The 17,574-nt window shown below is 52.2% G+C and overlaps 1 protein-coding gene across 7 annotated transcripts in view, besides 1 other annotated feature; it reads right to left on the bottom strand.

Moving 5' to 3' along the window:
• CRHR2 (corticotropin releasing hormone receptor 2) overlaps nucleotides 1-17,574 on the bottom strand; it is a 48,162-nt gene that overhangs the window by 12,595 nt on the left and 17,993 nt on the right. For 6 of the 7 annotated variants that reach the window (NM_001883.5, NM_001202483.2, NM_001202475.1 and 3 more), the window contains 4 exons: nucleotides 17,379-17,504; nucleotides 2,692-2,777; nucleotides 994-1,103; nucleotides 534-651 (listed from right to left, as the gene is read on the bottom strand). In NM_001883.5, the coding sequence (NP_001874.2) occupies nucleotides 534-651; nucleotides 994-1,103; nucleotides 2,692-2,777; nucleotides 17,379-17,504 (440 nt within the window). The remainder of the gene's footprint in view (nucleotides 1-533; nucleotides 652-993; nucleotides 1,104-2,691; nucleotides 2,778-17,378; nucleotides 17,505-17,574) is intronic. The other variant, NM_001202482.2, reaches the window with a different exon arrangement.
• Nucleotides 7,404-7,604: a silencer, noted in NCBI's record as "peak6463 fragment used in MPRA reporter construct". NCBI's record gives its function as "represses an SCP1 promoter by STARR-seq MPRAs in K562 erythroleukemia cells {active_cell/tissue: K562}" and the evidence as "EXISTENCE:reporter gene assay evidence [ECO:0000049][PMID:32103011]".

Below are 17,574 nucleotides of genomic sequence, written 5' to 3' on the forward strand. Positions count from 1 at the left end.
ACCTGAATCCACAAGATGAGGAGTGGACTAGGATAAATGTGTCTAGAGTCAGCTTTGTGAAGCTCCCAGCCTGGCAGCTTCCTGCTCCTCCCAGCCCAGCTCTGTTGGGACAATGGCTAGGGTGGAGGTGAGCTCAGGTCTGGTTTTGCACCTGAGCCACAGCCCAGATGACAGCATTCTGGCCATGGGTCAGCCAAGGAGCAGCCAGAAAGTCAGTTGTCACCAGCTGAGAGTAGCAGGGACTGGTGAACATCAGTCTCTGTGTGCAAATCTCCAAGGGGTCTGTCTCAGAGCCTGGAGAGAGCAGAGGGGATCTGTTCTCAGAGTGGGGGCAAGAATGGGGTGGAGTTGCAGAAGTTCAACATTAGGAAGAGCTTGTAAGAGTAAAAGCTGCTCAAGAAGAAGAGGGCTGCTTTAGCAGGTAGTGAGCTTCCTGACAAAGGAGGGGTCCAAGCAGAGACCAGACAGACAGATGGGTGCCCCCGGAGCCCAGAGCCCCCCAGGTATAGCCCCGAGTCTCCCCGAGCAATGACCTCATTGCTCTCGTGCACTTCATGGTCAACGAGCTGCAGCAGGAACCACATGACATTTCGCAGGATAAAGGTGGTGATGAGGTTCCAGTGAATCACATTCCGCAGACAGCGAATGCTCCTGTGGGAGGTGCAGGTCAGGGGTCAGCCAGGTTCAGGGGTCAACTGGGACTGGGTTCCCCCTGAGGCCAGGTAGAGACTCAGCCTGGGATGAGGGCAGGGCTGCACTAGGAGCCACTTCCCACCCATGGTGGCCACAGTTGGGCCTCTGAGTCCAGCTCCCACTCTGCACCCCACATGCCTGCTGGTGATTCATGCCCTGGCACCCCACCCAAACCCCACTTTCTCCACGGGCCCTTTTATCTGCTGGGCCCCAGAATGGAGGTGAGAATGTCTGGGAGAGGTGAAGGGGGTGCTGTAGGGGGAGGGATGAGGAGAAAGCAAGGCGGAAGGGCAGACTCACCGCAGGGCCAGGAAAAGCAGGAAGGCGGCCACCAGGGCTGCCACAGATACGCAGTGGCCCAGGTAGTTGACGACAAGGGCGATGCGGTAGTGCAGGTCATACTTCCTCTGCTGGACAGACAGACATGGGCAGGGCAGATGGAGGCATGGGCACGTGGGGGTGGGGCTGGGTATTCCAGCCGTGGCCACCTCTGTGTCCTGACCTTGGGGGCAGAAGTGCTCCAGGTGTCATTGCCGTGCCTGGCTCTTAGGGTTCGTTCCTGTTGGCCCTGGGTGGCTCTTGTTGTTATAAATGGCTGTGGTCAGGCCTTCCAACATGCATTTATTTTTATTTTTTTAGAGATGGGGTATCACTCTGTTGCCCAAGCTGGGGTCCAGTGGCTATTCACAGGTGTGATCACAGTGCACCGCAGCCTTGATCTGCAGGCCTGAAGCAATCCTCCCACCTCAGCCTCTGAAGTAGCTGGGACTACAGACAAGTGCCACTGTGCCTGGCACCAACATGCATTTTTGGGGGCACATTTTGAGAGGTATGGGTACAGATTCTTTTTTAAAATTCTAGGCTCTAGAATGCTTCTCCTGAGTTTAGTCTCAGCCCGGATCCCAGCTGGCTGAGTGACTGAGGGTGAGTCGATTTTTATTTCTGGACCTCAGTTTTGATGTCTATACAATGGGGCCAACCTGCCATCCTACCTAAGAAGCAATGGCCTATGGGAGGCCTGGGGTGGGGTGCATTGAGATTAGTCTGCCCTGGAGACCACACGAGGGGGTGCACTGTCTATAGAGAATTTAGAAATTCTATTCAAACTGAATAAAAGTCAGTTGACTTTTAATTATCACCAAGTGTTGGCAATTTGAAACAAAGTTAGTGATGAAATACTCCTTCCTGCCAGGGAGAGCCACCCCTCCACCCTACCCAACCCCTGTGTTGATTCTCCACTGCTGGAGGGGCAGAGAGAGTGGAGGTGAGGACCAAGGGCTGGAGGCCCCCCTGCCCATTGAGTGGCCTCCCTGCAGAACCCCTGTGGCTCACATTTTGCAGAATCACTTTCTCAGGGCGGGTGAATGTTTTTCCCTCTCAATTTGGACTTCATCTGGGGCAAAGTCCCAGCCCCACTGAGGACTATGCTGGGTAATGAGGAGGGGATGGAGCTGAGATGTATCCTTTCAGGTCAGGAATGAGGCGTAGCCTCAAGGAGAGGAGTTCGGTGCCTCAGCAGCACTGAATTGAATTCCAGAGCGAGAGCTGGAGCAGGGCTCCAGAGAGGCAGAGCAGGACCCAGCTTCTCATGGGGACAGCCCTTGGGGGGCTGCATTTGTTTCCATGTGGAGTCACAGAATCAGAATGCCAGATGGGGAAACTGAGGCCCAGAGGGAGAGGAAGGTGTGCAGTCACACAACCCCTAAGATGTTAGGAGCATTGATTACACGGTTATTCCCTTTTTGTGTCACATGCCACCTTGGCTTTGTCCTCTAGCAGCCCAAGCTCTCTTGAAGGTAGGACTCCATGTCCCCCTTCTCTACTCCCCTACAGTGTCACTAAGCACAGGGCAGGACACTGGGGGCAGGGGCAGGAGGTACAGAAGGGAGTGACTGGGTGACAAAAGGACTGGTCTGCCCCCCTTGGGATCTTCTCTGCTCAACCTGAGTCCAAATACCTGTGTGAGGCCTGGGGTCACAGCAGGTGAGGGCCACTCACCTTGTCATCCAAAATGGGCTCACACTGTGAGTAGTTGATCTTTGAGGCCCACGTCCCATTCTCCAAGCATTCTCGATAGGCATTCCCTACAAAAAATGCCAACTGCCAAGAGTCAGGTCACTCCCCTCCTCAAGAACCCTCCCTGGCTCCCTGGTGCCCACAGGATAAGGTGTACGCACCTCAGCTCTCCTAGGGCAGCAAATACAATGTGCATCTGAAAGTTTACATGTAAGTCACTTATGTGAAAATAGCACAAAAGGCTCATCTTACAAAATAGCTAAAGGCATGCTAAAACCCATTTTAGACACAATCTTTGACTAGCATTTTGTACACTTTCATTTTGTTCATTTGCTTCAAAACTGAATCCAACTGTGAGGAGTGGGTTGTGCCTGAAGATTCACTGCTTTCAGCATGCCACATAATTTACATCCTTGTCTCAATTGTTTTATATTTATGAGGTCCATACTTCACCAATATCAGCACTTCCATTTTTATAATAGCTACCATTTATATAGCATATGTTTCCCATGTACCACTTCCTCTTCTAACTGCTATGGATATACATGTCAATTCAATCTCCACAACCATCCCATGAAGGAGGCATTAATATGAACCCATTTCAAAGAGGAGGAAACTGAGGCATAAAGAGATTAAGCTACTGGCCAAGGATACAAAGATGACAAGAGGATTCAAACTCAGAAGTTGTGGCTTCGGGTCTTCTGTTCTTAACCTTTAGGCCATATCAAGTAGTGGCAAACAGGAATGAGTGAATGCTGGGGACTCAGGGCTGGGCCACCGCCCTCGGGCTGCTGCTGCCTGGGAGGCTACCACGAGATGTTTCTAAATGTTCAAGAACCAGCCTCTGTATTTAAGTTGGAACATGATTTAAGTGTGAAAAGACATTTCAAGCAGCAATGTCCTGTGCACAAAAGTGCAGGTTTTGTCAAGGGGGAAGGTAGGAAAGTTAAAAAATGCTCACATTTGCCTTTCTCTCTATCTCAGCTCCAACTGTCAAGGTCTGGCTCCTAAGCCACCCCCTCCATACACCAGCTCCAATCAGGAGGAAGCCCTCCCACCTGAGAAGGCCCGGAGCTCTCGAAGCCTGCCTCTGCTTGGCCTTCATCACTAGTGTGTTTCTGACCTACCGGGTGGGTTACAAATGCTGAACGTTCCATTGTTTGGGGGTGATTTGTACCAGGGTTCAGCTCTCTGACTAATGGGCAGTTGTCTGTGAATTTTTCTTTCTAGCATATGTTAGATGTACAATGTAAAGCTAATTAAAATAAATAGCTTGCAGAGCACAGAGTTGCAGAGCTGGAGGGGGAACCTTAGGTTGTTTTTGGAAGCAGTGTGTTCTGAAATAATTAAGTTACTTAAAAACCCACTTCCGTTGAGCCCGATGAGTTGGAAGCAATGGAATTGGGAAGGAGCACTTGCCGAAGAGCAAAATCAATGGGGAAGATTCTATTAGCTTAATTGTTTTTTAGTTTGGTGCCTGGAGCTCATCCATTCTTCAAACCCAGGGACGTGACTGGCCTATTCCTTCCTCCTGGGCCAAGGCCCATCCCTGGCAGGGCCCTGCCATCCCCCTGCCAAGTGAGTCAGGGAATGCCCTGGTCTGATGCTGATTCTGACTCTCAGGAAGAGGAAGCCTGCTCCCCACCCCTAGCCATGGCGCCCAACTCCCCAGGTGGGATCTAATTTGATACCTAGCACTATCTTTCCTTACCAACATTCGTGCTCATGAAAGAGAAAGGTTACCTCAACTCGTGAGGGTCAGTGATAGTGATGTCACTGAACTAAAAAAGCAAAAGTATGTAAGGAGGGTAAGTTCTTTTGTGAAATGAACAGTCCCTCCCTGATGGGGGTTTACGGTGCCTCTGAACAGTCTATGTGAGGTGAGGCAGACCAGGATCCTGCCTGTGCTTCAAAGGGCAGAAAAATTTATCTTCTATATGTTCATAGATATTATCCAGCTTTCCTGAAGCTCAGTGCTAGGCCCCTTCCTTCAGGAAGACCTCCTTGATTGCTTCTACTCTATAGCTCTCTCTCTCCTGAGCACCTCCAGTCCTGACCGCCTGAGCCCCACACTCCAGCCCTTGCCCCATGACCAGCCTGGAGCTGTCTAGGTGAGTGAGTCTGGTCACTCTGATCAATGTGGGGGCTCCCTGAGGACAGGGCCTTGGAATACTTGTTTCCCGAATATGATATCTCATGGTGGCACTGATCATGGGGTGGGCTTGCAGGTGGGAGGGGGTCAGGATAGAAATGCTGCAAATCAGAGACCTTTCCTCTCCCTCACACCAATGCCCATGGGGTCCCAAGTTCCATGGATTCTGTCTCCTCCTTTTCTTTTTCCAGAGTCAACTCCCCTCCTGCCCATCCCTCCATCTGCTCTCTAGTCTTCTTGCCTGGGCTGCTACAACAGCCTCCTCTCCTCTTGCCTCCCTGCTTCTTTTCTTGCCACCTTGACCATGTTGATTTCTGCTTAAAGCCATCAGTGGCTCTTTATTGTGCTCAAGAATAAAGTCCAATTTCTTAGCATGATAGTCAAGGCCCTTGACACCCAGGTCCCAGCCTAACTGTCCTGACCCATCTCCAGCATTCTACATGGCCACTGGCATTGGCACACATAGGTTTGGCACATACCCTCTTTGTGTGGATCCACCACTTAAAGCACCTCCTCCTTCTTACCCACTGCTCACGGATGAACTCCTACCCATCTTTAACCCCACACTCAAATGCCGCCTCCTGCATGGAGCCATCCCCGACACCCTTAGGTCTGAAGCAGTCCTTTCTTTGTTTCCTCCTCTATCCCTTCCCTTCTCTTGTAACGTAGTTTTTCCACTTTATTGCCCTTGAACCACAATAACACATACATTTTATGTTATAATCCAGTACACACACACACACACAAACACAGAATCCAGCTGTACTATTTTCCTTTCCAGCCTATTCTAATGTCTTCTATTCATTTCACACACACTGATCATGACCCACTAAATTGACTCCACAGTCCACTCTTGTGTCACAATCCATAGTTTGAAAAATACAAATTCTGTTTTAGTGCATTTGCCATAATTCACTATGAACTTCATCTCTTTGGACCTAATCCTTCTTTTCTTTGCTACTGGACTTGAGCTCCTTGGGGATAGACAAGTAAGTAGAAGCCATATTGGAGCCACCATATCTCCCTCAGGACAGAGCCATTGAGGAAATGTCGGCTGAACAGAATTGACTCAGACCTGCTGACCCCTGGGAAAGCAGGTGGGATGCAGAAGCGGGAGGGGACTTCCCTCTCTGGCAGCCCAGCCCTGCCTGCAGATGAGCTTCTGGTTACAGACACTGGGTATCAAAGGACTGGAGGATAGATGTGCCCCACTCTTCAGGGGAGCTGTCTGCTGTGGCCAATGAGGGCACTGGGCCCTCAGGCACAGCCTCGGACAGGAGGGAGTAAGACAGAAAGAATCTCATCCACCCCGTGGGAAACGTAGACGGATGGGCACACACTCTGAGGGCTGATGGCAAGGCTAGAATTGTGGGGCTGGATGCAGAGAGGTGGGTGCCCATTACCATAGCAACACAGGTGCCCCTGCTGAGGATCAGTGCTGATGATGTGGAGTGTGGGCTTCCAGGGGCATTAGGGTCTGAATGATGCAGGCAGGGTCTTCTCTTGCAGGACTCTGTAGTCTGGGAGGCCTGGTTTCCATGCCCAGAGTGGCCCAGGCCTGCCAAAAACCCCCATTACAATGGGCTCTCCCCGTTTCAGATGCTGACACTTTGCAAAGAGTTCCTGGTTCAGGCAGTTACCTGGGGTGGTCCTGAAGCCTGGCTGGGACATGAGACCCTATATTCTAGCTGTAGTTTTGTCTCTAGATAGCTAGGTGACCATGACTAAGCCCCTTCCCTCTTGGTCTCAGTTTTGCCTCTTAGAAATATTACAGTAAATTGATTCTCTATGATGTTATTGGCATCTCAGGTGGATCAATTATATGTTATGTGAGACTCCCCAGTCTACTAAATGCCAGTTAGCACCCTCAAGCTATTGTGACAACTCCAAGCATCCTGACATCACCATCAAATGGTTGGCACTTCTATCTCTGATACCTTCTGGAAAGACATGGACCATAGGAGACAGGGACCATGAGGGACTACTTTTGGTGGTAGTTTTGGGGGAAGGAGTACAAGGGACAGGGGTAGGCATGGGGAAAAGAGTTAATGGGACTGTGGTAAGGCACAACAATGGGGTCATTGGCTATTTGCAAAGAAAAGGACAGGAAGTGAGGGAGAGGCTGGATATGGTGGCTCATGCCTGTAATCCCAACATTTTGGGAGACCAAGGCAGGTGAATTGCTTGAGCCCAAGAGTTTGAAACTAGCCTGAGCAACATGATGAAACCCCATCTCTCAAAAAAAAAAAAAAAAAAAAAAATAGCCAGGCGTGGTGGTGTGCGCCTGTAGTCTCAGCTACTCAGAAGGCTGAAGTGAGAGAATTGCTTGAGCCTGGGAGGCAGAGGTTGTGGTGAGCTGAGATTGTGCCACTGCACTCCAGCCTGGGTGACAGAGTGAGACCCTGTGATGATGATGATGATGATGATGATGATGATGATGATGATAATGATGATGATGATAGAAGAAGAAGGAGGATGAAGAGGAGGAGGAGGAGGAGAAGAAGAAGAGGTAGTACTAGTAGTAGTAGTGGTGGTGAGGGAGAGAAGGTGATGACATTGAGGTGGGGAGGGCCAGAAGCAATATTTACAGAAGGAATGAAGTCACTACATGGGATCGGAACTTTCAGCACCGCGGACAGCACAACTCCATTCTTCATCCCTGCCTATCTCTAAGGTTGGGGACCTCGGAGAGCTCCTAAGAACCAGCCTTCCCACCCGATATTCCGACCTTGGCCATGGGCCCAGCCCATTGAGGTCAAGCTAATTCATGCCCCTTTTCAAGGCCCAGCTCCAGCCCCAGCTCCTCCAGGTAGTTTCCATGACTGTTCCAGCTCCCCAAGGGTCCAGCTGCTTGTGACTGCCTGGCTCATGCTAGGCTGGGATTGATCTTTCACTGACCCCTATAAAGGTGTTGTACTTTCCTAACCAGCCCAGGTTCTCTGGAGCAGAAGTTTACCTTATTTTGTACAAGGCTGAGAGCCTCTAAAGGCATGTCCTGGGTTGCTGTCATCTCTGGCCTTTTCTTAAGCACTGCACAGAGCTGAGCACACAGGATCTCAGGATGGACCAAAGCTGATGCTGTTTCCTAGGTTACTTGGGAACTCATTGAAGGTAGGAGGCTCAGAGTGGGCCAGGAGGACAGTCTGCCACCTTGTATGCCCATGCTTCACCAAGATGCATGGCAAATACAAAACAGTCACACATACATGCAGGAGGAAGCAAGGTCTCACACAAAGACACCATGGGTAGGCTGACCCAGCTGCCAAAACTGCAGACATTGCAGTCCAACCCCACATGGGGGAGGGGTGTCAGTCTCAAACAGCAAACCTGTGGGCAGCATTCTCCAGGTTCCTGGCATGAAAGCTTTGACTGTTCCAAGGGAAGCAAGTTGGAAACTGAGTTATCAGGCATCTCCTTGGGAATTAGGAAGGAAGACAACTTCTGCATTTGGTCTGGTGGGACCAGAAGAGAGAAACTGACACATCTGGGGTCACTCAACCATGAAGAGGCAGAAGATCTCTCTCCCTTGGGACACGCTTCCTCACGGGAGACCCTGGAGTTGGTGTACCTAGGAGAGACAGACTCTCCCTGTGACCCTGTGTTTCAGCAGATGCAGCCAGTTATGCCACCTCTTCAGTGTCATTACCACTTGGTGTCCAGATCCTCAGAAGAGAATACCTTAGGGGCCAGATATCCCACCCTCAGTTCCCTTTACTGCCTGTAGTTGGGCCACTCCAGATCCAGCCATCTTCTTGTCTGGCCTGGGGCCTAGTTGAGAAATCTTTGACCATGACTTTGAGTCACCTTTCTTACCTACTTTTTTTTTTTTTGAGATGGGGTCTCACTCTGTCACCCAGGTTGGGGGGCAGTGGTGTGATCTTAGCTCACTGCAGCCTTGAACTCCTATACTCAAGTGATCCTCCTGCCTCAGCCTCCTGAGTAATGGGACTACAGGCATGTGCCACCATGCCATGATCATTTGTTATTTTTTTGTTTGTTTTGTAGAAACGGGGTCTCACTATGTGGTTTTGGCTGGTCTCAAACTCCTGGCCTCAAGTGATCCTCCTGCCTCAGCCTCCCAAAATGTTGGGATTGCAGGCATGAGCCACCATGCCTGGCCATCTTTCTTGCTTTCTGTGGGAAAAACCTCTCAATCAATGTCTCCTCCCAGCTTGGCCTCCACTTCCTGGAGTGGATTGCTTTTCATCCCCAGTTAAGAGACTTTTGGGGAAGGTGGACAGAGCTGGGGTGGTCAGACGTACAGTCCTAGTACTAACAGCATGGTTTTCCTGAGCTTCCCAAACGAGGTGCATCTCCTTGAGTCAGCATCCTGCATTGCTTGGAGGCCACTGCAGGTTAAGGAGGACTGACCAACTTTGAGGCCCACCTGGCATATTTCTGTCTTGATCCGATCACAGCAAATTGGTGGTCAGAGGGGAACAGGCAGCTGGTGATGTTCACCCAAGCTCAGACCCAGACTGACGTAGAAGTGCTAGATTGAGTTTGGGAGTCTAATATTGCCAACCCCAGCCACTGGGTGGGAAAGGCATCCCCAGGGCCCTTTGCTGGTGCTGTCTGGGATTCAGGCCAGGGAACTTGGATTCCATTTCTTAGTGTTATATGGACACAGCTCTCTGAGCCTCGACTGCCTGTTCTGGACCTTCAGAGACCCTCAACTCCCTATTTCCACAGGACTTTTCACTCATGGTGCCCTGCCATCCTTAAGCAGGACCTGTAAGCACACTTACAGGAGACAGTGGGGAAACTGAGTCATAGAGGCACTGAGCAGTTTAATGGAGACCATACTGGGTCTATGAAAAAGGGAAGGGGGAGTGGAACCCAGCTCACTGTGTAAGCTCTGCCCTCCCCAGAGAGGGGCAGTGGGAGGAGGCCCCTACCTCATGCTCCCGCCTCTACTGTACAGGGCTCCCTCCTTCCAGCCATCCTAGCAACACTCAGTGGGCTCGTCGCCATGACGCCAGCCTGTGGAGGAAAGTGGGGAGGGGACCAACACAGGACCCCTGTGGCAGAAGCTGCCTTGGAACTGAGAAACATCACTAGAACTCATCAAGCCCTCCACCCACCTGGTGCAGATGAACTGAGGTCTGAAGAGGGGAGACCACCTGCCCAAAGGGAGAAAAGCAGTCAGTAGGATGGCCGGGATTAGATCTGGCTCTCAGTTCCTAGTTCCTATGAAGTAATGCAGGGAGAAGACAGCTGGCTGGCAGGATGCCAGCAGCATCCCTCCAGGGGGGCAAGGGGCTGCCTTTCTCTACAGGCTTTTAGGTACCAGACCTTCTCAATCTAGATAGACAGAATCCTCCCTCCCAGGACATCCCCAGAAGCCACAGAGTTCTGGGGGCTCTCAGAGATAGCAGGAGACCACCACCCCAGAATGAGGATAGCCATTCTTGGTGTGAGCAGGATTTCCCCTACCCAAGGACATGATGGCCCCTCCTTCCAGGCCCCAGGCCACCTTCAACTCCCCTCCCCTTGCTGACAATGCCTTAGCTGTCTACAGGGAGCCCCAAGCAGCATCATCTCCCCTGTGTGCCATGGCCCCACGAGGTCAGCATGTTCTCTGTCCCCTTCACACAGATAAGAAAACTGGGACTTGGACAAGGAGGGCCTGCCAGTCCCTCAGTGAGTCATGGCAAACCCAGGACTTAGATCCAGCCCTGCTAAATCTGAGCCCAGGTTCCTCCCACTCTCCCTTGCCCCAGCTGCTCTCCTGGCAGGTGCTGTGTGTGAAAGGGACCGCCTGCCTGACTCTGAAGCACCTGGTGAGGGTGGGCAGTCAGAGGGGCCCAAATGCCTGTACCTGGGGCCCAGCCAAGAAGCCCTGTGGGGAGCTCCCTGAGGATCACTGAGATGGGGCTCCTCCTTCAGCCCGTCTTCAGGGCTCCAGGCTCTGCTGTGGCACTGGTGGTAAGGAGTGCACAGGGAAGGATGCTGGGACCTCTGACTTAAGGAGCAGGTGGGAGGAGAGGAAAGGGCCAAGGCCCAGGTCCCCAGCCAGCCCTTGATTGAGATTTAGATGGCACATTTTGAAAAGCAGTATCCTTCCAGAGTATTCTGGTCCTGTGCCATAGGGCTACGGACAAGCAGCCGCTGTCTCTAAAGCCAGCAGAATCGAGGCCCATGCCCTGGTCCAACATTTGAGGCCTCCATGATCTGGCTTATTCTTCCCTCCCTCCTCTTCCACTTCCGCTCCCACCCTCCCTTCCATCTGACACATCATTAGCTCAATTTTTCAAGGCACTGTTCAACAACACTTCCTCCATGAAGTCTTCCAAATTTACTTTCCCTTACTCTTGGAATAACTCCCTTCCATGTGCTCTGACTGTCTTCACTGTGCTATTTTACTTGGGAGCCTATATCAAAAAGTTCTCTTTGAGAGTCTGCCTGTCTGTCACTCTTCCTAGAACAGGAGCCCCTGGAAGGCAGGCTCAGGTCTTATGCATCTTTGAAAAGCTTGTCTCTAGGCTCCTCAATTCTTTCTGGGGGAAAGGGTAAAATACTCAGAACCCCAATAAGGGGTGAGCCTGAGCAAGACGATCAGGTGGCTGGAGGATTCCTGGGGAGAGCAGGAGACAGGAAAGATCAAGATGCATGCAGAGGTGGGTAGAAGCTAGAGCAGAAGCCAGGAGTTCCCAGAGCCAGCAGAGGCCTATCAGGGCCCAGACTTGCTGTAGAACTCTGAGCAGCTGTGTTTCCCTCTCCTGGCCAGTCATTTCCTACCCTTAAGTGGGGAGGGGAAGGCTGGACTCGGAACATAGAGCGCTCTGCAGCCGGGCAGCTCTGGGGTGTCTGGATGGCCACAAGGGCATCCACTTCTGCTCTATTTCTCTTCCTTCCTTCTTTTCTTAGCTAAACCTCTGTGATGGCCATGCCTGTCCCACCTTCCCTCTCTCCCAGCAGGGAAGTTGTTCTCACACATGGAGTAACTTGTGGCCCTTGGAGAATGGAATAGAGTCAGGGGGGATCAGGTCTCGCTGGAGTCTGAGAATGCAGACCTGAGTTTCCGGATTTACAGCTTCTACTTCTTCAACCCAGAGGGCAGGGTCTATCTGGGGTCCTCCTGAGGCTTGCACCCCTGCACTGCGCCTGTCCTTAACAAATGTGGCATCCCAACTGCTCCAAGACCTTTAAAGTTTACCCCCACTCCCTCCAGAAAGCCTCCCAGGAATGTCCCAGTGTCCACCAAGCCCCTCTTCCCGATCTCTGACTGTTGATTTGCACAAGCCTCCTTGATAAGCAGCCTGGGGCTTCCTGAGGGCAGGTCTCAGCCTTTCTTATCACCTCTGACTCTTAGGGCTGAAGAAGGGATTCCTGCATAAGCAGGCAGACCCAATGGGAGAGACCCCTCTGGCTGGAGACCACTCAGCTTATGTGTTTCCATTGTAACACAATCAGTGCTTAAGCATGTCTCTAGAATGGGGTTCTGGGAAGTGGGGACCCCTAACCTCCCCATGTGGCTAGGTTAGATGGGATGCCCCTTCTTCCCCTGTCCTGGCAGATGCCTCAGTACAGATGACCCCAGCCATTCCCAGTAGGACATTGCGGAGCTTGAGGTCAAGGAGGCTGAGGCTCAGCCAAGCTGCACTTAGTGGTTCCACAGAAGGAAAATGGACCATGGCCAGGAGGGAGGTGGCAAGACCCTCCTTTGCAGCCAAAAGGACCGTAGGGACAGGCAAGATGAGGTGCAGGAGGAGGGCAGATAGAAGGAGGGATGGGAGTGGGGAGACAGTGGGTTTGGAGATGGAGTCGGGGGATGAAGAAGGCAGTAGGGAGAGATGGAGAAAGAGAGAGAGAGGTAGAAAATGAGAGAATCTGAGAAAGACAGAAACATACACCCAGAAACAGAACCACACATAGAGAAAATCAGAAACAGACAGGGAGACAATGAGAGAGACACAGAGACAGAGATGTACACACAGAGATGGGCTCAGAGGAGTCCGTGTGGAATGGGGAGAGGTGGGAGGAAAATGGAATATAAGTGCCCCACTTCTGGCCAAACCACTTCCATGCTAATCCACTTCCTTTCGGCCTACAGACAGGGAGACAGGCCCACAAAAGGGATGAGACTTGCCCCAATTAAATTGTATATGGACATTTAGGATTGTTTCTAGCCACCCAGGATTTGAACCTGGGTTCGGAGAATCCTGGGGTAAGACCGAGGCTACCTCCCCGCCTAGAGCTAAAATGCCAGATCCTTACTTCCCAGGATCCCTTGTAGCCAGAGCTTTGGCATGGGATTTGGGGCTCCACATATTCCCCCACCCATCAGATGCACCTACCCGAGGGAATTAGTGAACTGGAGGCCCCCAGATGGAGACAGGGAGAAAGCCTCTCCAGAGATAACTGCAGGAAGCTTAAGACTCCAGGTTGGCCAGGTGCAGTGGCTCACGCCTATACTCCCAGCACTTTGGGAGCCAGAGACAGGAGGATCGCTTGAGTCTGGGAGTTCAAGACCAGCTCTGGCAAAATGGCAAGATCCCAACTCTACAAAAAATTTAAAAATTAGCCAGGTGTGGTGGCATGTGCCTGCAGTCTCAGCTACTCGGGAGGCTGAGGCAGGAGGATTGCTTGGGCACAGGAGTTTGAGATTGCAGTGATCTTTGATCATGCCACTAGTGGTGGCCAGGGCTGGTGGTGTTGGCAGGGCCTTTCAGGGAGAGGGAGGTCCCCTCACAGGGCCAGCTCTGCCCTGTGTTCTTGGCTTGGGGCCCCAAATCTGGTTCTCTAGCCCACTCAGTGATTCCATAAGCTCCCCAATATCTTTTTAAAAAATTTCTTCTCTGCTTAACCTAGCAGAGTTGCTTTTTGAAAGGCAGCAGAACCTGGGTTTGAATCCTTGTTCTGTTACAAGTGACTTCATTGCTCCACACCTCAGTTTCCCCATGTGTAAAATGAGGATAATGCCATGTCTCTGTCACTCGATGGTGCAAGGATTAAATGAGTTAAACCACAGTACAAACATGTGGAAGCTCAGCCACTGAAGCGCCAGCACAGGTTGTGTAGAGAACACCCAAGGAGACTCGTGTGCTTAACTTGGCTCTGCCACTGACTAACATGTGTGGCCATGCGCTAGTCCCTTCCCTTCCCTTGGCCCTGCTGCATCTGGAAATAACTCTGGGTAAGATGGCTCAAGGCTCTGACCCAGCCTCCCAAACTCACACACTGTAGCTATTTGCTAACCCCACATCCTGAGGACTTCTAAACGCCTTATCTCCACTCTTGGTGCTCTCTTGAGCTTTTCCCCCACCCAACCAGCTGCTTCCTGAACATCTCCACTCAGCTGTCCCTCCAGCTCCTCAAAGTCAACACATCCCCAACTGTGCTCAGCTGTTTCCTGTGTGCCCAACCTTTACCTTGCCATCTCTCACCATATCTTGTCAATTTCAAATGCCCAAGGTTGCTGGCGTCTTCAACCTCATTTGCTCTTACAGCCTGCGGTCTACCTGGGTCTGTGCAGAAATCCCCTTACTTCTCCTTTCCCTCCAGAGGACAGTGTGCTCCCAAAATTGAGCTTCTCTGCTCACAAGCTCACCCAGGCTCCCTCTCCAGATGGTGAAGCCCTGTAGAATGCCCTGCATCACCTGACCTCCATGCCCCTCCCCAGCCTCATTGTTTCTTTCTCCTACTCCCTGTTCTCCATACAACACACTCCTCCCAAGGCACAAAGCCCAGCCTGTCTCCTTGCCTTTGCTCAGTCCCCTCAGCCTAGAGGGCCTCTCCTGTGCCTATTACACTCACCTGCTAAAATCCAACCTGTCCCCAGAAGTCCAGCTCAGAGGGCTAAGTCCTCCCTGATCCTCCAGGCCGGAGGTATGAGTCTTCTTTCCAAACCTCTAAGCTCTCCTCGCAAACCGAATGCCTCTTGTGGAGGGAGTACTGCCCCATGGTTAATAGCGAGGGCTGTGGATTCACCTGCCTGCACTGGTGCATAGGAGCTGATTAGGACTTTCAATAAGTTACTTCATGTGTCTGAGACTCAGTGTTCTTGCCTGCAATATGGGCATAAAAGCAGTATGTATCTCAGAGGGAGTGTGGGCGAGTGGGATTATGGATGCCTGAGATATGGATACAAAGCTCTCTCAGTGGTAGCTGGCACCTGGAAAATGATCAACACTTAGCTTTGTGGCAGATTCTCTGTGCTCAGCTGAGTTGAAAAATCGCAGAGACTAATATCTAAACTGCTATCCCCACCCGGGCGATTCCTGCTCTCTAAGGAATGAGGCTTCAATGCGGGTTTGGCTATAGCATAACAAAATTGGGGCAGGAAGTGGAGCCTGAACGCTCCTGTTCTTCCCCTAGGCTTCTCGTGGAGGTTTCTCCCTCTGTCATTCTTTTTAAAGGAAGGATCCCAAGGAAAAGGCAAACAGAGAAGCAGGAAGCAGCACTGATGTGAAGAAAGGGGAGGAGGGAAATCAATCATGCATTTCCACAGCCATTAGCAGCCTCTGCTCTTCCCACCTAGGCTGACCTCACACCCCAGGTGCTGGTTAGTGGTAAGTGCTCCCCACCCTCCACAAGCTCCTCTCATTCTCCAGCAGTTGCAGTGCAGGCAGCACTTTGGTCTAAATGAAGAAAATTGTTCATTAGATACCAGGGGCTAATTGGCCCTACTTTTACCAGCCTGGGTGGTGCCCCAACCTTTTATCAGCTTCTCATTAGACTTAATTGATATGAATGGCCTGATATGTGCTGTCTGCAGCACCTTTGGGAAGTCTTCCTTGTCACCCCGCCCCCACACCCCAATCCCATAGACCTTGTGCTTCCCCCCTAATTAGGGCATTCATCATTCTGTTCTTTTTGTCTGTTGCAATTGTGAGTGAGAGCCTCAATACAGTGCCTGTGCAGTGGCTGGCACATAGTGGGTATTCCACAAATTGACTGAGTATTACTGTACTCAGCTTGGCTATGAAGAAGAGACCCAGGCCCTGGGAAGGGGGGGCCCCCAGGCTGGTCGGGGAGAACAAGGCATAGCCCAGGCTGGGGTAAGAACGAAAGCAGAGCTCCCTGAGGTTCACAGGCTGTGGGCTGAGATGCTCCATCACCCCACTTTACCCTGGATGGCCCTTAATCTCCGGGCCCAGTCTGAATCAGGCATGCTGATCTCCATTGCCCCACCCCACACAGCTCACGGAATCCTAAAAATACAGTTTTATAAGGTCAGGACTAGGAAGGCACAGGGAAATCATTCCTTCTGCTTGCACACCTCCTAGCTTGGGGATCTTACTTCCTTCTAGGGAGATCTGTTTTAATCATGGATGGGAAGCATGTGCTCCCTGGGCCCACCAGAGCCCTCAGCTGGTGCAGCCAGGAGAGTGCGGCTTGGCATCAGGTGCAGGTACATCTCTCTTGCCTTCTAACCATCTCTCATGGCAAAGCCCTCAGCCTCAGCTTCTGAAAGCTTGTGTGTGTGTGTGTGTGTGTGTGTGTGTGTGTGTGTATGTGTGGTGGAGGTGGAGCTGGGCTACCAATCAGACACAGACACTCTGAGGATGTTTCCAGGATGAGAGGCTTCAGACAAACAATCCAGATAGGGTCTCAGCGTGCTTGACAACTGGGGTCCGGCTGGAGATATCAGGGGGGTTCTAGGTGGGGCAGTGATTGCTGCCCCCACAGCCTCCCGCAGACCACACACCTGGCTCCCATCCCATGTTCCACAGGGCACAGACAGGCACCTACCCACACGCACACACCCAGAACCCACACTGAACGACCCCACCTGGAGGCTGTGTAACTCCAGCAACCTCTACTGCCCTTTTCCCCAGAGCCTCAAGCCAGTCCATGATTTGCCAGGAGGAAGGCAGGCACAGGTTGTTCTCCTTGAGAGATGGTGTTGGGGTGCTGATTCAGACACCACTCATTATGGGGGCGCAGGAATAATGCTGCCCACAGCCCCTGACTCAGCCCAGCAGGTCAGTCCTGGGACCTCGGATTAGGGAAGATGCAACACCCCGCACCCTCTGGCTTAGCAGAACCTACGCCTGCATGTCCTCCCCACGAAACATGCGCTCGCCCCAGCCCTCCTGCCTCCTACCCTCCTCCTCCCCTCTGGTAGTAGGGTCTGGTCACTGCACTCACTCTGGGGGATTTGGGACTTAGCATATCCGCCCTCCTGGGATAGGTCCCCCTCCTGGGCAGGGGAAGCATTGTCTAAACAATGAAGCCCTAATGGGGAACTTCAGGCAACGGGAACCTACAATGAGGGAAGGAGGTTTACACTCCAAGAGGAGGAAGTATTTCCTTCTCCCCTTTTTGGGCTGTCACCGCATGGAGCACGGGAATTGTGGGCAAATCACTGGCTTACTGAGATTAGACGCTGTATTGGGGGTAGAAGCAGAAGGCGCGCCCCCAACACTGTAAGGGGTCCTTAACGCCCGCGGTCCGCGGTACCGCGGCCGTCAGCAGCTTTGTACCGCTGGGTCCGGAATCCTCTTTACTCCCTAAACCGCCTTCTCAGGAGGCCGGTGTAGAGCAGGCAGCGAGGGCCGGGGGCACTCACGGGTCGTGTTGTACTTGACGCCGTTGAAGTACTCGGGGCACGGCCTCTCCACGAGGGCTCCGGCAGCGCTGCGGGGCCAGCACGTTCCGATCTGGTCCAAGGTCGTGTTGCAGTAGGAGTAGGGACCTGGCGGCGGGAGAGAGCGCAGTAGGGCTCAGAGGGGCCCGCAGGGACGCGGGGCTCTCGGAGCGCGGGG

This window comes from Homo sapiens, chromosome 7 (assembly GCF_000001405.40).
Source record: "Homo sapiens chromosome 7, GRCh38.p14 Primary Assembly".
In the NCBI taxonomy this organism is placed as follows: domain Eukaryota; kingdom Metazoa; phylum Chordata; class Mammalia; order Primates; family Hominidae; genus Homo; species Homo sapiens.